At 48.2% G+C, this 27770-nt stretch overlaps 3 annotated features.

Annotated features, from left to right (window-relative positions):
• Positions 2422-2789: a transcriptional cis regulatory region, noted in NCBI's record as "candidate enhancer chr6.3216 targeted for multiplex CRISPR interference". NCBI's record gives its function as "positively regulates SLC29A1 gene expression in K562 cells {active_cell/tissue: K562}" and the evidence as "EXISTENCE:mutant phenotype evidence [ECO:0000015][PMID:30612741]".
• Positions 15500-16030: an enhancer, noted in NCBI's record as "H3K27ac-H3K4me1 hESC enhancer chr6:44443176-44443706 (GRCh37/hg19 assembly coordinates)". NCBI's record gives its function as "activates a minimal SCP1, AML or CMV promoter by ChIP-STARR-seq in primed H9 embryonic stem cells {active_cell/tissue: H9 hESC(primed)}" and the evidence as "EXISTENCE:reporter gene assay evidence [ECO:0000049][PMID:30033119]".
• Positions 20252-20471: a silencer, noted in NCBI's record as "fragment chr6:44447928-44448147 (GRCh37/hg19 assembly coordinates)". NCBI's record gives its function as "represses an EF-1alpha promoter that drives an FKBP-Casp9 reporter gene in an ReSE screen in K562 erythroleukemia cells {active_cell/tissue: K562}" and the evidence as "EXISTENCE:reporter gene assay evidence [ECO:0000049][PMID:32094911]".

Consider the following 27770-nt stretch of genomic DNA (forward strand, 5'->3'; position numbering starts at 1 on the left):
GGGCATCCAGGAAGATGACTGTATATATAAATCTCCCAAAGCTAATCTCTCAGGGCTTCTGAACTACAAGTTTGTTTGTTTGTTTGTTTGTTTGTTTTAGAGAATGGATCTCCCTCTGTCACCGAGGCTGCAGTGGCATGATCATAGCTTGCTGCAGCCTCGACCTTCCTGGGCTCAAGCAATCCTCCTTCCTCAGCCTGGGAAGTAGCTGGAACTGCAGGCGTGCACCACCACACCTGGCTAATTTTTAATTTTTTTGTAGACATGGGGTCTTGCTATATTGCCTATGTTGGTCTTGAACTCCTGGCCTCAGCCTCCCAAAGCACTGGGATTACAGGTATAAGCCACCATGCCCAGCCCTATCCTATAAATTTGGATGGGTTCTGGAAACTTCCTGGAGATCTGCAGATTGGTAGTTGCAGCAGGTGAGTTTATAAAGCGGAGCTGAATTCCTAGAAGGAGACAGGCTTCAAGATGCTCATTTCAAGAGAAGCTAGCCTTCAGCAGGCAGGGTAGACTCGAGAGTCAGGGCTGGAAGATGTGGACACTGTGAACTTCAGGGCATCGAGGCCTGCAGCGTCACTATGGGCCATGGTGTCAGCATCATCCAGCTCTGCTGAACGGGAATTTGCCTTTTAATGCAGGTGGTGTGCATGCACATGGAAGTTTGGGAAACACTGTTGGAGCCTCACCCAGGAGCTGCCTATACATGATGAAGGAGAAGCTTGTTTTTCTCCTGGCTGTCCTCTGCTCTCCAGATGGCTTGATTAATATTCTCCTCCCTGCAGAGGTCTTCCTGTTCTGAAGGCAGCAACTGGCCCTTCCTTCGATCACTCATGATATTAACAATTTGTCCGTTATTTGCAACCAGTGAAAAAAGCCTTCTCAAAACATGCCCTGAAACTCATGGGGCATATGTGATAACTTACTCAAACCAACGTGATACTTATTTAATTTCCCTGCGTAGTCCACTCCAAAGAGTTTTTAAAAAGTAATTTTCTGAAATCTTTGGATAGGCCATTTGTTGCACTATAAGACTTTCTTCCCAGAGGGATTTGTGATTATAACTGAATGAGAAAGTTCTGTTATTAGAAATAATATTTTGTCCTAGAAAGCTCTAAAGGTGTTGGGTGGAAGGGGGAATGTAGAAAGGGCAGGGGAGCTGGGGTGAGGGAGGGGAGAACAAGGACTCTCGCTGTACCCACAGTTGCCATGTTTGTGCTTTGACAAAGGGTCAGAAAAAACCAAGGAAAAATCAAAGTTCAGAAAGGTTCTGGTTCTTCCAGAAGTTTGCAGTCCAATATGGTAGCCACTAGCTATGTGCAGCTATTAAAACTGGAATTTAGGCCGGGCGCGGTGGCTCACGCCTGTAATCCCAGCACTTTGGGAGGCTGAGGCGGGTGGATCACGAGGTCAGGAGATCGAGACCATCCTGGCTAACACGGTGAAACCCCGTCTCTACTAAAAATACAAAAAATTAGCCGGGCGTGGTGGCGGGCGCCTGTAGTCCCAGCTACTAGGGAGGCTGAGACAGGAGAATGGCGTGAACCCAGGAGACGGAGCTTGCAGTGAGCCGAGATGGCGCCACTGCACTCCAGCCTGGGTGACAGAGTGAGACTCTGTCTCAAAAACAAACAAACAAACAAACAAACAAAAAACGTATTTAAATTAGATAAATTTAAATAAAAGTAGATATTCAGTTCACACATTAACACCTCACTGAGCTGGCAAGAAGCAGGACAGCAGCTCGGGGCTGTCTTAGCACAGCAGAGACAGAGCTGAGCAGGGCAGAAGAAACCCATCAAATGCGGCAACACGGAATGCAATTAGAACACCTGGGAAAGGCCAGCACGGTGGCTCACACCTGTAATCCCAGCACTTTGAGAGGCCAAGATAGGCAGATCACTTGAGCTCAGCAGTTTGAGACCAATTTGCACAACGTGAGGAAACCCCATCTCTACCAAAATTACAAAAAGTAGCCAAGTGTGGTGGTATGCGCCTATAGTCCCAGCTACTGGGGAGGTTGAGGTGGGAGGATCGCTTGAGTCTAGGAGTTTGAGAACACCCTGGGCAACATAGGGTGACCCTGTCTCTACAAATAATTAAAACATTTGCTGGGTGTGGTGGTACACACCTGTGGTCTCAGCTACTCAGGCGGCTGAGCTGGGAGGATGGCTTGAGCCCAGGATTTCAAGGTTGCAGTGAGCTTATGATTGCCACTCCAGCCTGGGCTGGAGTGAGACCCTGCCTCAAAACAAAACAAAACAAAACAAAAAAACAAAAACAAAAACAAAAACAAAACAAACAAAAACCTGGAAAACACTGTTTGCTTTTGCTCTTTAAGTGAGCAATTCCACATTTAGGGATTGATCTGGAAGGGAAATCCATCATTATTGCATTGTGATTACAAAAGACTGAAACAACCTAAATGTCCTTCAGTGAATTAAACTCATGATAACACCCACGCGATGGAGGACTGTGCTGCCTCCGCCCTCAGGGTGAGAGTGCTTCCCGGGTCATCCCCTACTCCAGGCTAGTCTCCTCTCCATTCTCTCACTGGGTCCTCTCCATTCTCTCCCTTGTCCAAATCTGGCCGGGCCGGCTTCAGCCCAGCCTCTGCCCAGAACCCCCGTGGAAGGGCAGCCCTACTGTCTGCTGACCGGCAGTCCATGGCTTTCACGTCGTGTCGTGGTTTCTTCCTGTGTCATGTCTTCGCTTCTTAGCTAGGTCATAAGCTTCTTTAGATCACGCCTTCTGCTTATCTGCCCAGAAAGGGGACCGCTCGCTCAGCCTCTCTCTCCATCTCTGTCTCTCTCTCCCTCTTGTCCCCCAGCATGTCTGGCCATAAAACATCAGGCCCCCTCTGCAGTCTCCATCCCCAGCGCCCACACAATGGATGGGCTTCAACTCTGGAAATTACCACTTTTGCTGCTCCACACAGCAGGGGATGGGAAGAGGGGGAGACATAGAGGAGGAACTTCTTGGGAACAAGAACAAGCTCTATTCTCAGAGTCAGAAGTCCTGGGTTTGAGTCCTGACTCTGTTATTTTTAGGCTGTGTGACTTGAGACAAATTACTTGGCGTCTCTGACCTTGACTGCCCTGTGTGAAGTGCAGCTGTTACTGCTTGAGTAAAAGGGGTCGTGAGTCAGGTTGTTTGCCTCTGAGCCCCCAAGTGCCCGCACCTGGAAAGCTTTAATACCGCCCATGCCCTTCATGATACTGGGCCGTAGTTCATAGAGAAAGATACCATGGGTGAGCCTCACACCGGATTCAGGGCCACGAGTTTGGTTGTTTTGACCAAAACTTGGTACTTGGGGAGGAAGAGAGGACTTGAGCGCCTGGAGACTCATCATTCCATGAGGTCTCGTCTCAGACGTCCTTGGCATTGGTTTATGTCTCATATCTGGTTCACAGTTGTGCTTGGTGAACCAGAAGCGTAACCCAAATAAGTCACTCTGTGGTATTTAAAAAAATTAACAGGAAGAGCCTGTGTGGGGTGATGAGTGTGGATGCACATTTCAATTTTAGTTTTCACCATTTAGCACACATGTCCAGGAAAACATGCTTCTGTCACCAAACAGTCAGCTGGGCGAGGTCCCTTTCCACCTAGTTGACCTGGGTGCAGTGAGGGTGGCACTTGTCATCCTCTGGTGTGGTCAGTGGAGTGGAAAGAGCTTTGAGTTCCTGCAGGCTCTACCATGAAGGAGCTGTGTGACCTTGGACAGGTTACTTCCCTTCTCCAAGCTTTAGCTCTTCACCTGTAAAGGGGGGCCCTCCTTTACTGGGTCTCGAGAAGGTGAAATGGAAAGTATCTAGGCCCATTCCTGGCACGCAGCAGGCCTTCAGTCGGTGGTAGGCATTACTGTCATTTAAAACATTCATACACGGGAAACAGAAGCAAACCACTGTTACTGCGGGGTTTTCTGTTACAGCTGAACTAAATTCCAATGAACACACTTACTTTACAGATAAATTCCACACTTTGGAAAGGAATCCAAAGTTACAAGCCCCACATTTCCTATACATGGCCTAGTCTCCAAATGTGTTTCATATTTTAGCAAAATCACCAGCACTCTCTCAGTGGACATTCTCTGCAGTCTTTAACAGTCAGTCTTCAAAGCCCATATTAAGAAGGTGGTGTGTCTAAGTCCTGGCCAGTGGAACAGAACAGGAATGATGAGTGCAAGAGACGTGTTCTTAAGATGGGAGAGGCTGTACCCTCCTTATTCTCTTCTGCCAGCTAGAGGCAGACACTAGAGGCTCGCAGCCCTGTGGCCACTGTACCTGCCACAAGGAGACACTGGGAAGGGTGGCCAGGCATGAGGGAGGACAAGACAGCAGGGGCCCAGGTCCACATACACCAGGGAGTGCCACGCCAGCCCGGATTGACCATCTCTGGACTTTCTGAATGTGCAAAGATATCCCTAAAGAGCATAATTATTTTCCCCAATGCAGAACTTAACATTGCTGGTGGTGGAACCAGGCCTTCAGGAGCGCCTGATGCGGTTGGGCCAACTGTGAATAACGGAGAGAAACAGGAAGAGGGAACACTCCGGCCAATATTACTTTTCATGTAAAGTAAATCTTTTCATTAAATAATGGTAAAAGTCAAGAGAAAGACTTAATTACTACCTTTGTGTTTATAAAACTTTGTTTTATAAAACTTGATGTAACTATGGTCAAGATAGGACAATATTTAAAGAAATAAAAGCACCAAGGTACAAGGTCAGCACAAAAAGTTGTGCTGATTAAGGGAATAGTGTCATCCCCAAGGGCGGTATCTGGCGGTGTGCCCCAGACTCTGCCCTTGACCCAGGACTGCTTAACATTCCAAGCATTCACTTGCAGGAAAGCCTAAAAAGCACACTTATTACATTCCGGGATGATTTGAAGCTGGTCAGGAGAGCTCATGATTTGAAAAATATTGCAGGATGCAAAAAGTATTTTGACCAAACAGAATGATGAGCTGAATGTAACAGTATGAAATGAGATAACGATGAATAGAAGAATCTGACAGATTTGGGGCCTAGATACCAATGGCCTCTGTATAAGACTAGAAGGGGAATTGTGTTCAGTTATGAACTTTGGGGGAAACAGAATCATCAGGGCGAAGAGATGGGAGTCGTGGTTGGGCGGAGAGCTGGTGGGGCGTGGGAAAGTGATGTAAGAGCCCCGTGTTAGGTGCCTCGGGCTGCCGTAACACAGTGCTGCACACTGCGGGCTGAAACAACAGACTTTACTGTCTCTCCGTTTTGGAGGCTAGAAGTCCAAGGTCAAGGTGTCATCAGGGTTGGCTCTTCTGGGGGCTGTGGGGGAGAACCTGTTCCTTGCCTCTCTCCTGGCTTCTGACAGTTTGCTGGCAATCTTTGGCATTCATTGTACTGTAGCTCCATCACCCCAGTCTCTGTTTTCATCTTCACATGGCATTCTTCCTGTGTGCTTGCCTCTGTCCATGCTTCCCTCTTTTGTAAGGACACCAGGTGTATTGGATTAGGGCCCACCCTAATGACCTCATTTTAGCTTGCTCATCTGCAAAGACCCTATTCCAGTTAAGGTCACATTCACAGGTATTGGGGTTAGGACTCTAACATCTTTTTTGGAGAAGACACAGTTCAACCTGTAGCAAGCCCTTCCCCAATTTGAAGGGCTGTAACATGCAAGAGGCTTAATTTTCTTTCATGTGACCCCAAGGAAGAGAAGCAGGGCCATGGAAGCAGATTCCAGTCCAGCAAGAAGACCTCAAAGTATTAATTCATTGTTTGCTGTGTAGCTCCAGGCTTCTTTCCTCTCTCAGTTGTGCCCAACAGCAATTTTTTCCCCTCCTGCCCCCATATAAGCAAAAACAAAGATTCAAATAAACCACTGACCATATATTTAATAATTTATCATCTAAACTGGGACACTTCTGAGAGTGGTAACAGTGCAGGTGGTGAAAGCAGTCCAGCGGGACATACATTCACTAAAGACTATATAAATGGGTAAGAATTGGTCTGCTTTTCATTATCACCATGCAGCAGTAATCAGCAATTCTGAACTATATCAGTGATAACCTACCCCCTCCTTAAAAAAAAATCTTTAATTGGTTTAACTCTTAAACAATTGCTGTGGTTACTATTGTGTTAATATACATGTAAGCTTAAAATTGGCTTGTTTTAATTTCTTACTTTTTTTTTTTTTTGAGAGGGACTCTAGCTTTGTCGCCCAGGCTGGACTGCAGTGGCACAATCTCAGCTCACTGCAACCTCCACCTCCCAGGTTCAAGCGATTCTCCTGCCTCAGCCTCCCAAGTAGCTGGGATTACAGGCACCCGCCACCATGCCTGGATAATTTTTGTAGTTTTAGTAGAGACGGGGTTTCATCATGTTGGCCAGGCTGGTCTCGAACTCCTGACCTCAGGTGATCTGCCCACCTCAGCCTCCCAAAGTGCTGGGATTACAAGCGTGAACCACTGCGCCTGGCCTAATTTCTTACCTTTTACTAAATAAACATATTTTACATGGAAGTTAATTAGACAAACACCCAGTTACACAGTTGACCCCTGGCATACACTATACACATTTTTTTTGTGAATAAATTCATAATTATTCAAAGTCATCAGGCTTAGTGAACAGCTCATGTCTCCAACCCCTGGCAGAGAACTCCTGGATTTATTTTTATTTATTTATTTTTTGAGACAGAGTTTCGCTTTTTGCCCAGGCTGGAGTGCAGTGGTGTGATCTCTGCTCACTGCAACATCTGCCTCCCGGGTTCAAGTGATTCTCCTGCTTCAGCCTCCTGAGTAGCTGGGATTACAGGTGTGCACCACCATGTCTGATTAATTTTGTATTTTTAGTAGAGATGGAGTTTCACCTTGTTGGCCAGGCTGGTCTCGAACTCCTGACCTCAGGTGATCCGCCCACCTCGGCCTCCCAAAGTGCTGGGATTACAGGTGTGAGCCACCATGCCCAGCCTACTCCTGCATTTAAACAATAGATTTGAAATAAACAATGATAACGCAATGATTATCATAAAGATGAAAGGAATTGAGCTACTTTAATTGTCATTCTATGTGACCACTTGGAATTTTTATTTGTATTCAGAATTTAAACACTGAAACAGTGCAAACTGTGAATTGTAATATTTTTATTTGATAACTGAAAAATTTTCAACATGTAAAAATGGGATGTATTAAACTAAGATTTATTCTGGGTATCACATATGCTGAGTCGGGGTATTAGTTCCCAGTTGTTTAATCTGATGTATCCCATACTGTGGTATTGGTGGTACCAATGCTATAATGGTGGTAACAATACCACTGGTGGTACATGGTGGTGGTACCAATACCATAGTATGGGACACATCAGATTAAACAACCGGGAAATCTGGGAAAACTGGGCTATCGCAGGCAAACCAGGACATTCCATTACTGACCAAAGGTCAAAGGATGATTTTTGGGGAAAGAGTTCTTCCTCCTTTCTCAGAAGAGAAGAGGGAGAAGAGGTGCGTGGGGGAGATATAGTGACTCTAATGGGAGAGGGAGGACTAACAGGAGGGAGACATTTAAAAATGACCTGGGTATAGCCTTTGAAAATACACAGAAATGTTTAATAAAAATGCACTAGTAATGGACACGCAGTTTGTGATTGGCTTTTAAAAAATGTTACATGGTAAGTTTTTATGGAATTCATTTTTTTCTGCAATATTATTTTTAGTGGCTGTCATCTTGCTCCTAAATTCCCTTCTGTGTGTCTCCTTACCTTATCTCCCCACCTCACACCATTCACAAGAATAAATTCCAGGTGCTTTAAGAACTTTTAAAAATTTAGGCCAGGTGTGGTGGCGCATGCCTGTAATACCAGCAATTTGGGAAGCTGAGGCAGGCTGATCACTTAAGGTCAGGAGTTCACCACCAGCCTAGCCAACACAGCAAAACTTTGTCTCTAGTAAAAATACAAAAATTAGCTAGTGGTTGTGGCACGCACCTGCAGTCCCAGCTACTCAGGAGGCTAAGGCAGGAGAATTGCTTGAACCTGGGAAGCAGAGGTTTCAGTTAGCCGAGATCGTGCCACTGCGCTCCAGCCTGGGCAACACAGTGAGACTCTGTCTCAAAAACAAAAACAAAAACAAACAAACAAACAAACAAGAAAAAATTGAGCTGTCATTTGCACTCATCAGTTTGAAAAAATTGAAGTCTAATAATATGAAGGATTGATGAGGATAAAGAAGAAAATTGGCAATCTCATCCACTGAGGGTGAAAGAAAGTACTTTGGTAGAATCTAGTGAAATGGGTGTATTCTATGGTTCAACAACTCTGATTCAGCATTTATACACAAGATAAATTCTTCAACTTGTGCACAAGGAGAAGTGTACAAGGTTAGAAACAATTAAACCTTTCTAACTTTTCCCCACTCAGTGGTCCCCCTTGATTGCTCCACAGCAAATCCTCTTGAGACCCTCCCACATTTTATTTATTCTTTCCCTACTGATGGATGGAACATCCAAAGGTAGGGAAAGAATAAATAAAATGTGGGAGGGTCTCAAGAGGAATTGCTGCGCAACAATCAAAAGCGACCACTGAGAAAAAAGAGGATGCAGAATGACATACTTAGCAAGAGAGCATTTGTGACAATCTAATTCACAGGTGAAACTTTCTTATTATTGGTAGGGACAGAAGTTGATATGCAAATATTTAGCTGGAGTGATAATGTAAATTACATAATTTAATAAATACATCCAATATTTAAAAATATTCTCTTTTATTGCCTAAATTCTGGCAAAAATGGTTTATCAAATACATCTTATAATTTCCAAGTTGTTAATTTTCAGGAATTGCTGGTGTGAGCTTCTGTTTGATGTGGTGGACCCTCGGTAAGTGATGCACTGGTCTGGGCCATGCTTTGATACAAGAGATGGCAGCAAACTCTTCCAAGAATTTCCCCACGAAATTATAGGCATGAGGTAACTTTTAGTCTCAATAAGCAGAAAATCTTTTGGAACATCAGATATTGTAAGTGGTGTTGATTTCTTCTCAGCTTCTGCTAAACTAACGGCAGCTAAATAAAACATTTTCGAGGCCTATAAAAACGTCAGAAGTTTCCATATATTCCATACCTCCATGAGTGATGAAATCATTGACATTCCTTTCTTGAAACGTCATATTTAATTAGATCAAGTCTAATCTTTCAGGTGGATGAGAGAAGATGCTCAATGTGTGGGCTTTGTTGCCAGATTGCCTGGTTTTGAATTCTGATTCTCCTGCGTCAGTTTTGATTACCTCTGTCTTCAGGTTCCTCATTTGTAAAGGGGGGCAGTGATGATGGTGATGATATGGATGGTACTTAGTGAGGCAGGAAACACTTAAAATGGTACCTGGCAGTGAGCATCACTACATAAATGTCAGCTCTCATTTTTATTAAGTTTAGATTCTTAATGCCAGTGATGGGCGGGTGTTTCAATGTTTTAATACGTGTTTTATTTAAAAAAGGTGAAATTCAGCTGGGCACGGTGGCTGACGCCTGTAATCCCAGCACTTTGGAAGGCCTAGGCGGGCGGATCACGAGTTCAGGAGATCGAGACCATCCTGGCTAACATAGTGAAACCCTGTCTCTCCTAAAAATACAAAAACAACATCAGCCCGGTGTGGTGGCGGGCGCCTGTAGTCCCAGCTGCTCAGGAGGCTGAGGCAGGAGAATGGCGTGAACCCGGGAGGCGGAGCTTGCTGTGAGCCGAGATCGCGCCACTGCACTCCAGCCTGGGCGACAGAGCAAGACTCCGTCTCAAAAAAAAAAAAAAAAAAAAAAAAAAAGAAAAGAAAAAGAAAAAGAAAAAAGAAAAAAAAAGATGAAATTCAACAGGGACATACCCCTGATGAAAGAGGGACCTACCCCTGAGGGGACGTGGCCCTCAATGCCCCTACAGACTTGGGCCCGCATCCCTCCTTCTGTCGCACGGGTGCCTCTGCTGTCAGAACCAGCAGCATTAACCAGCGCCGGCCAAGTCACTGCCTGGCTACTTGCTCTCCCACCTGGCAGAGCTCAGAGGCCGCAGTTCCACACGTGGCCACGTGAGGGCGATGCCAGGAGAGTGCCGGTTTATGGGGCAGCCACAGCCTTTGGGTGTGGGGGTCAGGGGATGGCTGCACCACTGCCAAGGAGTGTCCAGGCTGCTGGGCCAAAGAGGCATGTTGGGATAGAATCTCGCGCAGGAGCTTCAGAGGTTTAGTGGGTGCAGGGGCTCCCCAGCCAGGCCCTCTGGGACAGTAACCTAGGTGCTGGAGGCTCCGTGACAGATGTCAACTCTTTAGTTGCTGGATTGTAGCCAGGTGCAGGAGCCCCGGGGAAAGGCTCAGGTGGCGAGGGCCATTCACCAACCTGTACGTAAGAACTTTGATTTTTTGCCAACTAATACAGCTGGGCACTACACAAACACAGATCCCTTGTCATGGATGTGTAACAAAAGCTGAATAGGCATGATTATAGCAGTTCATGCCTCGTAGTAATGTTCCCAGTGAAATTGAAGAACTCTTTTTTTTTTTTTTTTTGAGATGAACTCTCACTCTGTCGCCCAGGCTGGAGTGCAGTGGCATGATCTCGGCTCACTGCAATCTCCATCTCCTGGGTTCAAGAGATTCTCCTACTTCAGCCTCCTGAGTAGCTGGGATTACAGGCATGCACCACCACGCCTGGCTAATTTTTGTATTTTTTTAGTCGAGACGGGGTGTCTCACCATGTTGGCCAAGCTGGTCTCGAACTCCTGACCTCAAATGATCCACCTGCCTTGGCCTCCGAAAATGAATAACGCTTAACTCAAAGTGGCGTGGGTATGAGCATTGTTACTCTTTATACTCCTTTGTAATAAATTAAAAAAATTCTCAGAGACAATTTGGATCATCCAATGCGTTTTTGAAAGACTAGAGGATATCTTTAAAAAATCAGCATAAACAAAGAAAACTACTAAAATGTCACTTGGCAACAGCAGCATTCTTTAGCAAAATTGCAAGTTACACAAATTTTACCTTCCAAATTCCTCATTCTAGTCCCTGTGCCCTGCCCTGCCCTGCCTGTTGTCATGTCCCAGTGGCTGCTGCTGTTCTCCGTGGTGTAAATGCTGCCACTTGTGAGTTTCCTGTACAAAAAGGTGTGCTGTGACCTCTTCCTCATTCACCTGGTCTTCAGCTGTTTTATTCTTGATTTGGGGCTCAGAATTGTTCCTTCCCTGAAGATGATCAAAGGACATGCACACATCCAAAGTTTTGCTCTGTGATAGCATAGACTTCTTGATTATGATTTTATAAAAACTGCTTTTCAGAAACAAAAGTCAAGATGCCAGATTTATAAAGTCAAGATGCCAGATTTATAGAGGATTAGCAGCTTGTAGCCCCATTTTAAAACGAAGTAAAAATGAAATTCAATTGGCAAATTTATTATTTGCTAAGTTATATCTTTAAATGTAAAATATTCAACTTGATATTAAATAACAAATGAATACATTGCCTCAGTCCAAAAAGGATCAGAGATAATGTCAAATGAGATGATTCAGTGAGCAAAAGATAGCACGAGATATAAAATTACAAAATTACTTCACGCCTCTATCTTCGTGCTCCTTGTAAATGATAGCAAACTCCCTTTTCCCCACCCCATTTTTTCCTTTTACTTATCTAGTCTCCTCCATAGTTTGAACATTTTCAAAACTGTACAGTTCCTGCTTAAAGAAATGAACAGCTGCTGGTAGAATTTCAGGTGCAGACACTCAGTTGGACAGGTCATCGGGGCCGGAGGTCCTTCCCAGGGCTGGTCAGGCTGCTCTAGGTGGACAAGAGCGTGCCTCTGGGAAGTGAGAGGCCTGGTGCTGATAACCTAGTATCAGTGCAGTTGCAGACCGGTGTTGGCGTTGGCCGGGAAGGAGGGCAGCGGCGTGGCTTGAGGTCATGGAGGACGCGCAGGGCAGGCTTGAAGCTGGAGGGACATACTTTGCATACCAATTCCTTTTCTGGATCCTGTTAGTGGTGAAACTCCGAGTGTCCTTGTCACTGATGGCATGGTACAGACCACCTGGTCAGGGGACAGCCCTTGCATTATGTTTCCAGGGGGGTTCAGAAGCCTTAACACTTTCTTTGGAAGATCTCTCTGCCATTGCCCCTGATAGGATAGATCAGCTGCTCTGTGGCTTGCTTTTCCTGACATCTCTCCTTTGGCCTCCTCCACCTGGCACCACCACCTCCTTTCCTCTTCCTGATGGGCTTCTAGAAACCTTCAAAGATTATTCCTCCTGCAGCATTTATATTTTAAAAGGAGACAGTGGAGCAGACACTCTAACTCAAATAGTAAAATGAAAACTATGCTGTAACACGCACCTACTGGGTATCAGGAGCTTGCACAAGTGTTGCTCATTTAATCTTCACTACAACCCTGCAAGGTTTTGCTTCCCTAGTTAACAGATAGGAAAGTGGAGGCCTGGGGGTTTAGGGAGGTACAGTCAAGCAGTCAAGTTCACAGAGCTGGAGGCTTTCTGGTGGGGCTGGACTTGAATACACTTTTGGTAGAGTCTCAGTCCCTAGGCCCCTCCTCATGACATCGCCCCCTCCCCTCCCATCCTGCTTCAGGGCCTGGGCCCAGAGCCCACACGGGAGCCAGGACCCTTGCTCCTTGCCCGTGCCTAGGCTGCCGTGGGTGGCAGAGGAAGGGCTCTCTGGTCCAGACTACCCTTCTGTGACTTGAACAGGAAAAGACAAAGGTCCCATTTTAGAGCTGCAGCCTGTTTCCATGTCTCTAGTTGCTGAACCACCAGGAGGAAAAGCATTTGAGGTATTTCCATGGGAAATGGTAGCCAACAAAAGCGCCGTTGGGTGGTATTCTAGTTAATTGCAGGAAGGCGGGCAGCCCTCCAGGATATTACCTTTCTTAGGCTGGAAAGTGTTTCTTTGAAAAACGTTTTGGTTCAGCCGAGGCCTCCTAAGTTTTTGCAGATTTGCTTGTTCGTAACTATGAAGAGAGTCACCAAGTCGGTCCTTTGGGGGGCGGGGTGGGGGTAAGGTGAAGGCAGCATCGCTGGGAGGAAACTACTCCGATGACAACTTTTTGCTAAATGGTGGCTGGAAAACACTGGATTATATTTCCCCCGGTACAAATTCCTAAAGGGGGCCAATCCCCCGAGGCCGGCCTCCCCCAGACAGAAACAGAATCTGTGACCCTGAATGAAATGTCTCATGCCCCTGTGAAGGGGAGAGGGCAGGAAATGAAGAGAAGTGATCTCTCTTTTTAAACACACTTTTTTTTTTTAAACACTGAAAAGAAAAGCATTTGCAAAGGTGCATGAATCCAAGTGTGTTGCTCCTGACACATCGGTTTTGCATGTGCTTTTGCCTTTTCAGAATGTTTTCACTTCCTGGCAGCCTTGGGAGGTGAGCAAGGCCTCCATCCATCTCTGCACCTGAGAGATGAGGACGCTGAAGTTAAATGGCTTACCCCGCAGGTCATCCCACTGGTAAGACACGGAGCTGGTGCATTCGATCAGTCTGTCGCGGCCACATATTCCTGGGCACCTCTTCTGTGCCCAGCCCAGGGCTGTGAAAAGGACATTGAGGTGGCCGCTGTCTAGCTGTGGATACACATGCCTCATTTAAGTAGAATGGTACAGAGCAGCCCAGCATGAGGTACGGTCCTTCAACTTGAAGCTGACCTGGAGCTCTGTGCAGCCATTGCCGCAAGTGGGTTGGAGTAGGGGGCAGGCTAACTTCTTGAAGGAGGCGTGAACAGCTGCTGAGACTGCGGACCCCTGAATGGTGCTCTTTCCACCAGGACCTCACTGAAATCTAGGTGCTGTTCCCCAAATGGAACATTTTAATTACTGCTGCCGATGACACGTTTTATATCTGCTAGTTGTTATAAATGCAAATATAGAGAAATAGGAAGTAAAAGATCCAAGTGTCATTTCCCCTACTCCTGGCAACCGCAGTTGGCCCCCAACCCAAGATGAACACAGTTGGATATGTTGGGGTGTCTCTTTTGGACATTCTCATATGCATACAAGCTGTCTGGGCCTGTACCCTGGCTGCCTCCTCCACCGTACTCTCTGCGCAGAAGCTGACCGGTGTGCACTGCATCAAAGGGCTCAGCCTCTGCAAGGGACAGGAGGTGTGGCTAGGATATTCCTGTCGCTGGCTCCCTCTGTGCCAGGTCAGACCTTGTGGTCAGAGGGATGGTGGCAAACTCCGTTGTCAGAGGGATGGTGGCAGACCCCGTTGTCAGAGGGCTGGTGGCAGACCCCGTGGTCAGAAGGCTGGTGGCAGATCCTGGGGTCAGAGGGCTGGTGGCAGACCCCGGGGTCAGAGGGCTGGTGGCAGACCCCGGGGTCAGAGGGCTGGTGGCAGACCCCGTGGTCAGAAGGCTGGTGGCAGATCCTGGTGTCAGAGGGCTGGTGGCAGACCCCGGGGTCAGAGGGCTGGTGGCAGATCCTGGGGTCAGAGGGCTGGCGGCAGCCCTCATGGTCAGGGGACTAGTCGCAGCAGCCCTCATGGTCAGGGGACTAGTGGCGGCCCTCTGCTGGGAGTCGTAGCTCCTGTCAGGTGGCCCCTTCACACATTTTCCCTCTCTGGATTCCCATAATGACCTCTTCCCTTTACCCTTCAGCCCTGCGGATGGTTACTGGCCCTTCTTCCCTTGTTGATTTCCTTAAACCCTATAAGTAAACTCTTTTCAAGTCACCTCACCCCATGTTTTTCAGAATCTTGACTGAGAATAAGCACATATATTGTTTTGTAATCTGTGTGTGTGTGTGTGTGTGTGTGTGTGTGTAAAAAGGAGTTATTATATATAAATATCCTGTAAAGTCATGAAGTCCTGGGGGCCTCAGATAAACCCTTAGAAGGATGTTACTGCATCACCCCGTTATTGATTAGGAAACAGAGGCTCAGAGAGGGTGAGTAATCTGCTCACAGTCACCAAATAAACAGAGGAGTGGCCATTCTAAGGCCAGTGTGCTATTTTACAGCATTCCAGTGGGTGGGTATAGATTATTCATGTAATCAGTCCCCCTATGGATAAACATTTAATGTTGTATTCAGTTTTTCTCCTTGATATCAAGGCATCCCCAAACACAATACATGATTTCTTCTGGAAGCCTGAAGCAGGCACAGAGCAGTGGGAGGCACAGAGGGTGAGGCTGAGCCAGCTGTCAGATCTGGGACAAGCCGTTCTGCTTCTCTCAGCCTCGATTTCCCCAGATGTCTACTAGGAAGAGCATAGACCTTTGGACTTTGAGGCATGTGAGAGCCTGAGATTCTGCTGAGGCCTCGTTTTTAAATAGCTGCTCGTCTGAGGCTGGAGTGTGGGCAGTGATCAGCTGGCTACCAGGGAGGTGGCTGACGACAGGGTCCCCTTGTCCCCATAAGACTTTTATGGTACCACCTTTCAGGCATGTCCCATCCTGCTCATGAGCTGCAGAGACATTTGCTTCTGGAGGAAGCACTGAAGAGAAAACCAGCTATTAGTACTAGGATTGAAACAAAGAGAAAATGAAGATTCTGAGAAAGTGACTGTTCTTAGAATCAAGAAGTGTTATGGGGGAAACGATGTGTTCTTGGAGCATTTAGGGGAGGAAATAGGTAAATCCAGGAGAGGGTGCTTGCCACTGCAAGCTGGTCTAGCTCCCTGCACCCTCAGCTCTGTCCAGGAACCCTCTTCCTCCAAGTTCTTGAAGGCTGTGCGGGGCCCAGGCTCCAAAGAGGACAGATGCAGAGGCCACTTGTCCTCCCCTCCCCAAGGACCCAGAGCCCGCAGCTCCAGCAGCATCTCCAGCCAGCTGCCTGTCTGTAGCCGACGCCCCCCAGGGCTGCAGGGTTGGGCGAACTGGCCTCTCCTGTGCGGCTGACCAGGTCCCCCGAGCTTCCTTAGGGTTGCAGGCAAGGAGGCTCCCGCAGGGAATCTGGAGCAAGGTGCATCCGGCGGCCAGCAGGTGTCACTGCTGCCCCAGAGACGGCCGGCCACGGGCTGTGGCGACACGGTGAGCTGGAACAAACCGCTTTGTTCCTGCTTCACAGGCTTTACCTTACAGCAGGGTTAGGAGCCTGTTTACCTGCACTTCTGCCCAAGGAAAGGAGTAAAAGCCCTTCTCCTCCTTCCCTCCAGAGGACCCCATGGAGGCCTGCTGGGCTGCGCCCCCCTCACTGGCCTGGCCAGGGCGTGTGGGAGCACCCAGCAGCTGGGGCTCCTGGGCACCCACTGCCTGCCGGGCTTTGCCCTGGGAGCTGTGGGGCCCACAGCCCTATGGACTTCATACTTCTGCAGGGGCATGGGGCAACTTGAAGGGGTGTTGGTAGGTGTTACAAAGCGAGGCCCAGCCTGGGTCTGGCACGGTGAATCCTCCTTCCTGGCCGCCTCTCCTCACTCCGAAGGCTTCGCGGATGGTCTTGCTCCAGGTTGTCAGTTGCTCCTCTGAGTGGTGGGTGAAGAGGAAGCGGCTCCCGTGTGTGGGGCTGTAGGCGGACCAGCTGTTCTAGTTTGCTCATCACTGAGGAGTTCCTGGATGCACAGCTTTGGTGCTAAACTCAGAAAATCCTGGGCAACCCAACGAGTTGGTCATTCGGGCCAGGTACCAGCCACTTTTCAGACATCACTTTGCCTAACGCACATTGTTGGTCGTGTTGTCTCCCCATTGTAAAGAGAAACTAAGGTTGGAAAAGGCTAAACAAGCTGCCCAAACTCTCTGGATGGGGAGGGAAGAGTGGACATTTGAATTTAGGACCACCTGACCTGTGCTGTTTCTCCTGGATGCCTCTGAGGTTGAGAGATGAGAAGTGGCATTCACAGGCGTGAATCCGTGATGCCCAAATGGTAGGCAGCTGTGGGCCACGGGCATGGACAATTATGCTGTGTGCTGTGGTGGTCGCCTGAACTGGGGCAGCAGCCCAGGAGTCCCTTGAGGGCATGGAGGTCTGAGGGGAGCAGCGCATCAGAAACAAGGGTGTGGGGACTTTTAGGACCCCATGGTCAGAGCACAGGTAGCAGAAAAGCACACACTGGGCCAGGCCGAGGGGGCACAGCCAGGCTGACAGGGCCTGGAAGGGAGATACCACCGCCAAGAAGGTCCCGATACCTGCACGTGCCTCCTCCACAGCCCAGACGCTTATCTAAAATATCTTTTAGGACAAGAACCAAACCCCTAAGCCTGGTGAGCCGAGGACCTGGCGGTGTCTGGCTGGCCGGGGTGGGGGCTATGTAGGCAGAAGCAGATGCTGGTGGAAGTTCACCCAGGCCCCCTTTGCCAGGTGGCCAGGGACAGCATCGGCCACTTCCACAGGGGGCCATGAAATGGTGTCAGCTTCTGACAGATGCTGGATGGACATTCAGCCTAAGCATGGAAGCCAAAATGAAAGAATTCGCCAGGTCCTCAATTCATTGGGTAAAATCAGCTCTTGTAGCAGCCAGGCAGCTGGCAGGCTAGATGCTGTGCTCAGGGCTACTATTACAGAGAGAAGCCCCAGCCCTCCAGGGCCTGTGGAAGAAAGCAACCAGCCCAGCAGCAGACAGGCCTTTCTGCAAGTCACTGCAGCGAGGATGAGTGACAAGCTTATCAAGACGGCTGGTCAAGGCACCAAATGCCTCCTCCTAGGATCTGCACATGTCTGCTGGGCAAGGCTGCTGCTCCCTTGACAGGGAGAATTAGGAAAAAGAGCCCTCTCTGGATGGGCACAGCCTTCAGCAGCACAGCTTTGCAAGTGGAGTTCAGTCCCCGCTAACCCTCTTAGCTGGACACATTTGTGCAGTGCATAAACTGCACAACTGTACATGATGGTCCTGCCAGCAGAGGCTGTTTGTATCAAGGACTGATAACTCTTTTGCAGGCGGGAAGCAGGAGGTACCTGAGACCTGGGTGATGCCCTCCCCATCTGGTCCCTTCTGTGCTCAGAGTGGTCAACTCTTCCTAGGAAGCATCCAGGAGAAGCTATACAGGAGGATAAGGAGGAGGACAAGTGCATTGCGTGAAGAAATGTAACGTGCAAATGCACAGGGGCATAAAACTTCCCCATTGACTAGAGAGTAGGGTGCAAGGTGGGGACAGCAGGAGATGAGGTGGGCAGGGGCCAGAGTTAAAGGCCTGGTCTTCTGTAGGCTGTTCTGTATTTGAGGCTCAGGGAGCTATCTATGTGCCAGGCTGGAGGGAAGAGGGCAGCAAGGGAGAGCCAGGTGGGAGGTAACCTTCCTTTTCGTAGGCTCCTCTAGAGGCTTATTTCCATACCACATCAATGATATTCCCAGAAGCCTCCAGCAATAGTTCTGAGCTCTGTCTTCTGCCCATTGTGCCAGCTTCTGCTGGGAATCTTGGAAACAGAAGTTGGAGCCTTACTCTTAAGCAGAAATGCCAAGGCTAAAAAGGGAAGTCATGACCACACACATGTGTCTGCTGGGACTAACTGGGGACAGAGGGTGCAGTGGGGGGTTGGGAAGAGTAAGCCGCTGCCACTGTGCTTGGGGTGGTCTGGGAGGACTTCTCATACCGTGCCCACTGCTTGTGCACACCTGGGTATGAGCACAGTCTCCACCCCTGACTGAGGCACTGGATGAATCACACCCCCTCCCTTAGTTCCTCCACCTGCAAAAGGGTATAGCAGCCCCCACCCACCCAGGGCCCAGGGCGTAAACTGCCCCAATGCCTTGATTATTTACTCTTCCTCCTGGTGGGTGGCAGCATCTGAGGGGCCAAGTCTTGCCTCACCCACGTGTGCAAGAGTACAGATCGAGGTTTGATTTGCCAAAAAATTTAACTATTTTCTTTTCCTCTTAAGTTCTGGTTTCTCCTTTTGGGAGGTGCAGGAAAGAGGCTGGAAAGGGCCCCCTTGACTGCTGCTGATTGGGAAGGGATGGGAGTGTGTGGACAATGGCTGGTGGGCCAGGCTGGCCGTGTCCCAGGGGCCAAGCCCCATGCTGGGCTGTTCTAACAAGAACTTGAACTGAACCGAACCATGACCCCCAAATTGGAAAACACTGCCCTGATTCACTGAACCCGAAACCGAATCCAAGTATTATTATTTTTTGACTGAACTCTGAATTGAACTAATGTTTTTTCTTAAATACCTACCAAACCAGTTCGAACTAGACACAAACATATGTGTTTTCTGAAACTATTGAACCTGAACTTCAAAATAATCTCCTATCCGAGGGCAAAGTGAGACTTTATTTACTTGAGAGTGTTCTGTTCACAGCAGGCCAATAAAGCCTCCTTTATGGCAGAAGTAGCTTTCATTTGTTCAGCGCTTTCGTTTTACTTCTCATTTTTAAAAACCGGGGTGTAATTTACATACAGTGGAATGCATTGATCTTAAATGTATAGCTTGATCAATTTTGACAACACATATGCCAGAGGAACTCGGAGGAACCCCAGTCAAGATCTAGTGCCTTTATGTTCAGCCCAGAGGGTTCCCTCTGCCCCTCTCCCAGGCCATTCCCACCCCCACCAAACAACCACTGTTCTGACTTTGGTCTCCTTTTGCTTCTCGTTTGAGGCTTCTGATCAATCTCCCACCTCCACCATGGAAAGAGGGAAGACCGATGTGATGATACCCATTTCTTCTTTTCTTTTTTCTAATGTTTATTTTAAGTTCAGGGGGGTACATCTGAAGGTTTCTTACACAGGTAAACTTGTGTCATGGGGATCTGTGGTACAGATTATTTCATCACCCAGGTATTAAGCCTGGTATCCATTAGTTATTTTTCCTGATCCTCTCCCTCCTCCCAGCCTCCACCCTCTGATTGGCTCCATTGTGTGCCATTCCCCTCCATGTGTCTGTGTGTTCTCAGATTATAGCCATTTTATGGATGAGGGAATGAAGGCTCAGCTAAAGAGAAATGGCTTGTCTGAGCTCACAGAGCTAAGTATTAGCAGTGTTAGACCCAGCCAGGTTTCTGGTCTTCTAGCTCCTTCTTTCCATCTCAGGCCGTCTGCCGAATTAGATACCAATAATGGATCAATGCCTCTATGGATTTCCTAAGGAACATATCCCACCTCTGGGCTCCAGGGCATGATGGGCTGCACTCACCCCACAAGCAGGGTGGTTTTATCTATTTTTAAAGACCTCTCAGCAGAGAGCCTGGTGTGTCTCATTCTGGGCTGAGCCACCCCAGCAGACGGGACATTCTCCTTGGGCTTCAGTGCATCCCTCTGGCAGCAGCCTGCACTGGGATGTCTGTCCCCTGTCTCCAGCCTGCCTGTGTGTGGCTGTCTGTCGGTGTCTCTGGCTGCCTGTAAGTAGACAAACTGTATCTGACCCCCGAGAAGCAGTGTCTGTCTCCCCTCGCAGCCGAGCAAGAGAACATTGACTAGGTTCCCAGGCTGGGTTTCCTGGGGAAACATTTTCCAGAGCCTACAACAATGTTGTATTTGATTTGATTTCCCCCCCTTCTTTGCAGGCGATTGTGTGGTTTGGGGTGTTTTGCTCCTAGTTATAATCCAATAAAGAGCAGCTGCTGAGATTTTTCCAAGAGTACCGCTTTCAACCGCCCTCGTTGAAAACGCTCTAATTTATTTCAGTCGCTTGTGGGAAAACCAGCCTTAGCTCAAAACAAAGGCGTCCTGTGCTGATGTAATTGCCCCAAGAGTTTCTCCTCAGCGCTTTGGGCCTGCGGATGCTCACCAAGGAGACCCGGGAAGAAGCCTCCCTTCTCGAGGGCTGAAGTTGTCCAGAGGAACCTTGCTGTCTTCCAGCCTCTCAGGAGGACGTGGGAGTCTCAAAGCCCAGTGTGGGTTGGGGCCAAGATGTTCTCCATGGCTAGCCAATTTCCTGTGGCTCTCAGGGGTCAGTTCATCAGTCAATCACACCTTAGTATGAATTAATCTGATTTTTTCTGCTTATGTACTCAAGCCCTTTCCACTGAGGGGCTAGCACTGTGGGTGAAAGGACTGATTAAGAGAGAGTTTCTGCTAAACAGACCTTCAGTGGGACCCAGCCTTGGGGGAACCTATGGTAGGGATCTGGGCAGTTGGAGGTGAGGGAGTGGGAAGAGATTCCGAGTAGGGGTTGGAGGAGACCTCCAGGGTCAGCTTGCCCCGGGGCCATTCAGATTTGCCTGTTCTGTCTCCGCCTGTCAAGGCCCCCCTTGGGCCCTAACTGCGGTGATTAAAGAGGGCCTCATGAGTAACTCGGTTGTATTGCGCCCAAATATCTTTCTTGGGAAGCACAAGGGCCTCCTGGACTGTAAATTTAAAAATGGCAGCCCCATGGCAGAGCGATGTGTGAAATGTTTTTGTTACTTTGTCAACTCACAGATGCGACACTCTGATCGAATTACACCTGGTGGTGCTGTGTGTTTGGCTATAACTGTATTTCCAGGTGAGTGACTCTAGGGGTGTGCTTTGGGGTTGACTATCTCCAAGGCCCTGTTTTCCGTTTCATTTGCAAAGCGATTTTCATAGAGCCATGGAGATCTCTTTGTTTCCAAGTCAGAGGAAGTCACATGCCAGGGAGCATTTGCCTGTGAAGTGCCCTGCTTTGCCCACAGGCTGCCCTCTGCCCTGCCACTCCCTCCCTTAGAACCACCTGCAGGGGCCAAGCGAATCAAGTTGACGGAGTCTTGCACAGGCGGGAGCAAGACCTCTTTCGGCCTTGGATTCTTAGCAGTTAGTTATAAAGCACTGGCATGGTGTAGACACAGAAGAGTTCCAAACACTTCAAAAGTGCTGTACAGATCTCTAGGATTCATAGCCTTCGGAGATTCTGGCTTAGTCCATCTGATGTGGGACTCAAGCATCTTTATTTTTCTTTCAAAATATCTTCAGTATGTATGTTCCTCTAGAAAATTAAGAAAATGTCAACCATCATGGTTCCCTCCCTTAGATACTCGCATTGAACATTTTTGCGACTTTCCTTCCAGGCTTTTTTATTGTGCATACATTTATATTCGGATTAGTGCCGCACACTCAGTTTGGTGTCATTTTCCTCTGAGCATCGTGAGTATTTTCCCATGACATTTAATATTTTTTGAAAGCGTGGTTTGTACCGGCTGCGCATAAGGGAATCTTTGTCTGCATGTCTGATTATTTCCTCGAGATGGGTTCCCAAGTGTGTGAGAAAACTCTAGAGTAGAGTTTTAAACACTTAGCTTAGCTCATTTCCTTGTGCTGGATTCTACTCCCCCCCAGTGTATCCACCCCATCTCCTGCCAATACGGAACATTTGCTCATTTATTTTCTTAGTTTTAGAATCACAAAAGCAGTGCATACTCAAGCAATAAGGATGAAATAAGTATGAAGTCAAGTATCAAGCAATAAGTATGAAACAAAAGCACCCAGTCTTTGGTTTCCCCTGCCGTTGACTATCCCCCAGAGACTGGCACCATCAGTTTGGGGTGTATCTTGGAGCACCTTCCTCTTCAGCCTTCATTTTATTTTTCATACATTTCCCAGATGCTGCATGGGCAGACTGGGAACTATTGGTGTTGGGGGGAAAGGACAGCTTGGGAACCTGAGAACCTGAGAGCCGCCCCTGCCCCGCTAGAAGGTGAGCACAAATGTCCTGGACCTTGCTTTCCTCTTTGCAGTGTAGGCATAATGATATCTTTGTTGTTTGTTGGTAAGATTGTTCTGAGATTTGATTAACCAGCTGTAGCAAACAAACAAAACAAGAATGAAACAAACAAAACCAAGTAGGATGCCTAGTTAGTTAAATATGAATTTCAGATAATGAATGATTTTTGAGTATTAACATGTCCCATACAATATTTTACCTGCATTTTATCTGGCAGCCTACCTGAGATGAACATGTAGAAGGGACTTTGAAATGGGTTCTGGCAGAGCGTCCCGGGGCCCCAGCTGGCTCCTTCCTTTTGGTTACAGAGGACTCCTTATCTTAGGGGAGATCAGGGCTTGTCCATCCTTGGTCTTGAGACAGTCCCTCAAGCACTGACAAGTGGCAGGAAGGAGGAGCCTCTTCAGCAGCGGGAGGAAGGGGGGGTGCACCATCATTTACTGAGCACCTACAGTATGCTAGGCTGTTGGTAAACACCCTGTCTCTGTGTGTGCCCAACTGCTTGTTGGTGCTGAGCCTGCTCCTGACTCTAATGCCCTCGCAGTCCTCAGCCCCCCATTCCTCTGCCTGAACCCATTCCCAATTCCTGCCTCACCTGGCAGCATATTCAGATATGCTTCTTGGACTTGAGCCCTTGCCTGCCTGCATGTGCCCTCAGACAGCCTGACACAGAGGCCCTGGGCAAGGGGCGAGTTCCTCCAAAGACCCTGCTATCCCCTGGGGACTGACCCCTCTAGCCTCCTCTGGGGCTCCTCTGCTGTCCCTCGAACCCAGGCTCAGTGTTCCATGTGGGTCTAAGTGGGTGGCATTGGTGGTGTGATCTGCGGTTCCCAGGACCCCTGCCATTGTCTCCCTTCTTTGGTGAGTTGCATAGACTGCCTTTCCTGGTCGTCACTGAGCAGAGGCAGAGAGAGGAGTGTGCGAGGTGCCCTTTCTCTCTGGGGCTGCCTCCTAGGCTGCTGGGTGTGGTGCTCTCCTGCGTGCCCTCTGGGCCTCATCTGGCACCCCTCACCCTGGCCCTTCACCGGGGAGTGGGAGTTGGGACTTTGTGGAGCTCCCCCCACCGCCTCCCACCGCCCTCCCCGCCCAACCGTGAGATGCAGATACATTGTACTCAAAATGTCTGAGCGTGGTGTAATTTTGTTCTAAATCAGATGCCATTTTAACCTGTATTATACCACGGGCCAGTGGCATTTCAGTAGAGACACGTGTACAGTAGGGGAATGCTTTCATCTGAAAATGTTCTACGCTGTACGTGTACTTCCCTCAAGTAGCAGCGCACCTCCTTCCGGGGCTGAGTTTGAGAACCTCCTGGAGCCTCACTGTTGCAGTGCCTTCACGCCTCTGTGTCTTGGCTCTGGGCAGAGGTTAGGAACTCTAAATGGCGGGACACGACGTTTTGCATGTATTATTTCTCCTGGCTAAAGTCACTAGCGCTACTATGTCTACCTTATAAATAATGATGGTAATAATATCTCAAATTTATATAGCATGTTAATTTTTTTCTAATCCATTTTAATAAGATTTAAAACAATATTGAGAAAGCAGTAGCCTCTTCCCTGCTCCCAGTTCAGTTCCCTTTATCTTCCAGTTTGCTGTGAACCCAGTTTGGGTTATAACCTTCTAGACTTTTCCATTCGTACGTGAACTATATGTGTGGTTTCTTTTTCTTACATGCCTGGTATCACACTACCCATTTTGCTCTGTAATCCTGCCTTTTTACTCAGCAATAGATCACAAACATACAGTTCTTTTTCCTTCTTAATTGCACTGTCCTGTATTGTTTGGGTGTATACCAGTTCTTGTATTAATCTTCTACTGGTTGACATCTAGATTTTGTCTCGTTTTTCCGCTGTCACAAGCAGTGCAGCAGTGAACACCTCTGTGTTAACTGCGCACCCAGCTGTGCCCAATTAACTTAGAGAAACTCACTTCCATCTGATAGTTGGTGTGTGTAGGTCAAGCACTAGCCATCCACTTTACAGATGCAAAAACCCAGCAGGGAAGGGCAAAAGGTTCCTGTGGCCACACAGCCAGCACAGAGCGGAACAGCTTGCTTTTGAGGCCCAATCTCAGGCCCTCTCTATATCCTCATGGCTGCCTCTTCCAGGAATGAGAGCGTTTTAGACCAGCACCTCTCATTCTTCCATGTGCACACACATGCCCTGGGGATTCCCTTAAAGTGCAGATTCTGATCGAGTGGCTGGAGGGCGGGGCCTGAGAATCTGCATTTCTAAGCTTCCAGCGGCACCCATGCTACTGGTCTGGACCCCACTTGAGCACTGAGGCTTTAGTTTAGTTAAAATCACAAGTGTATAGAAGGTTTTTTAAGGGGTGAAGTGGGGGGTCGAGGGGAGACACGTGGTGTGTGTGCCTTCATTGAACTCGAATCTTTGATCGCAAATACTGTAAGCACCAAGGTTAGAAGTGCCTGCAGCACCACAAAACCCTAGAACAAGGAGGGTTCTAAGAGACCAGTGAGTTCAGAGGACTGGGCCCATCAGGAAGCTGACTTGCCCAAGGCCCCCGAGAGCCAGGGCTGCACCAGATGCCACGGGACCCCACCCAGGACTTTCCACCTAGGGGACCCAGGATGCTGGGGTCTGGCTGCCCCACATGGATGTCCTGGGTCCTGGCCCCCAAGAAATCTCTGAGAGCCCTTTCAATGTGAACATCCTGGGGTATGGTTTGAACTGGAATGAGAGAAGCTGGGCTTCTCATTTATTTTTACTTTTTTTGGGGTGGGGTCTCACTCTGTTGCCCAGGCTGGAGTGCAGTGGCAGGATCATAGCTCACTGCAGCCTCAACCTCCTGGATTCAAGTGATCCTCCTGCCTCTGCCTCCCAAGTAGCTGGGACTACAGACACGTGCCACCATGCCCAGCTAATTGTTTTATTTTATTTTATTTTATTTTATTTTGTAGAGACAGGTCTCACTATAATGTTGCCCAGGCTGGCCTTGAACTTCTGGGCTCAAACAATCCTCTTGCGTTGGCCTCCCAAAGAGGTGGGATTACAGGCGTGAGCCACTGCACCCGGCCCAGGGTCATTTTTAAGGGCTTTCTTAGAAAAACCCAAATCATTTCTGAGTCCAAAAGTCACACACGCATCACACCAGGAGAGACAGGCAGATGGAAGAAGAAACAGAGGCCCATGTGGCCAGGGGCAGACACGGTGAGGGATGCAGAGAATAGGAAAGACTGGAGTAGAGACAGACAGGGAGACAGATGGACAGGGGGAGAGCAGAGGTGGAGTAGGGAGAAAGACGAGGGGCAGGGGGAGCACAGGAAGAAACGGAGACTCCCAGCTGGGTCTCTGTCAAGAGTGGAGCCTGCAGACCACAGCCCTGCCCCAGCATCCTGATCCCCCAAAAGGGGGTGCTGTCTCCAGCTTCAATTGAATCCACCTCAGGCCTAAGGGTTCTCATTATTTCATTTCTCATGTTCATGTTTGAAAAAAAGACCTTGCCTTCCCTTCCCCCTGCCCTCCCCATCACCGGACTCTTGCCACCATCCCAGCCCTGAAGAGGAAGGACAGAAAGCCCTCTCCATTCATCAGGGCAGAGGCTGCGTAATGGCGGTGAGCGAGGGGCTGGAACTACCGTCTGATTGAACATTAGTCATCCTGCACGTTATATTCTCTAATGAGAAAATTATTTCAAATTGCCTCAAGGGATGGTTGTGATTAAACTATTTGCCTTGACTTCCTCTGCTAAATTGAACGTGTGCGCTTGTGTGTGTGTGAATACCCACATGCACACAGTCTCCCCCACCAAATGTGCTCACCAAAGGCCCTGGAACACATCCTCTGAATTCCAGAGGGTTTAGCTTCCAACCTGTTCACGGTATGCCTTTTCCTGCTGCAATTCAGAGCCAGCCAGGTCCTGAGAAGGGAGAGGGAGGCTGTTAGTGGAGCTGTATCAAGCCCTGCCAACCAGCCCCCATTCCTGCAAGGTCTTAGTTGCCTGTGTTTCAAAGGGAGCTGAGCTTCTATGGATGAGCTTCTCTTGGGTGTCAGATGTCTGTCTCTTAAAGAGAGAAGCATTCTTCAGGCAAGAATCTGGAGCTCTTTTCAGATCCCTCTTTATTTTCTCTGCTGTGAAACTCCAATTTTATTTGGACCTCCTGTGCATAAGCTGGGCCAAGCCATTAATATGCCAACCCTATTTGCCATTTTTGAAGGTTTTTGAAGCATATTTCAAAAGAGAACCAAAGCATACCATTAAGCAAGGAACTCGAAAGTTTTTATGCAGAATTTATAACATCAAAAAAGAACCCAAAAGTGCATGGTCTTGATTATTAGGACATCAATATGCCATTACCCCAATTCCCTTCTCTCTAAATCCTAGCCACACTTCAAGGGGGTAGTGCAAATAGTCCCTTCTCTGGAATCTCTCTCTGACCATTGCCTCAGTCACAATTAAGCCCTCCTTGTTCTGGGCTCCCATGACTTTGTCTCTGGTTGATAGAATTCAACAAATGCTTATTGAGTCCATATCAATGAGCTGCTGCTAGGCTATACTTGTTAAAAAACAACCCCCATGACTCAGTGGTTTATGGCAGTAGCCTTCCATGTCAGCTGCACACTGGTCATGACACTGCCTATTCATTCTGGGATCCAGGCTGAAGTAGCAGCCCCCGTCTAGGACATGCCATTCTCCAGGTAGATGGAAACAGAGGACAATCATCAAACCATGTGTGGCTTTAAAAACTCTGCTCAGATGTAGCACACATCACCTCCATTCACATCCTATTGGCCAAAGCAGGTCATGTGGTCAAGCCTGATGTCAGTGGGGAAGAATCATCCTTTTACCATGTGCCCATGTGAGATGTCCTGGATATACAAGGATCAATTCAGTGCCTTTGGACTCACCATTTGGAGCACTTTGGTGTCTATTCTTAGCCTTCTACCAAAATCCTCTTCCCATGATCATTAGGGTCTTTACAATCACCATATTTAATAATCCTTTTTTCTTTTTGTAGGCAAGTTGCATGCTACTTGATATCTTGGCTGCGTGTGATTCTGTTGACCACTCTCTTCTCTCAGCTTCTGGGATGTAGCTTTCTCCCAGTCCTCTTTCTACACCCCTGGATACCCCATCTCTGTAGCTTTTGGTCCATCTCTCCTACCTCTCCTTTCAATTCCTTTAAATGTTATGGTTCCCTTTGGGTTGGGGAAATCTCTTCCCTGGAGTTAATTTTAACTTCTGCTTCCATCTCTATGACCATAAACTCATTTTTTTCCTGCTAAACCTGGTCCTCCTCTTATGTGGC

This window comes from Homo sapiens, chromosome 6 (genome assembly GCF_000001405.40).
Source record: "Homo sapiens chromosome 6, GRCh38.p14 Primary Assembly".
Classification (NCBI taxonomy): domain Eukaryota; kingdom Metazoa; phylum Chordata; class Mammalia; order Primates; family Hominidae; genus Homo; species Homo sapiens.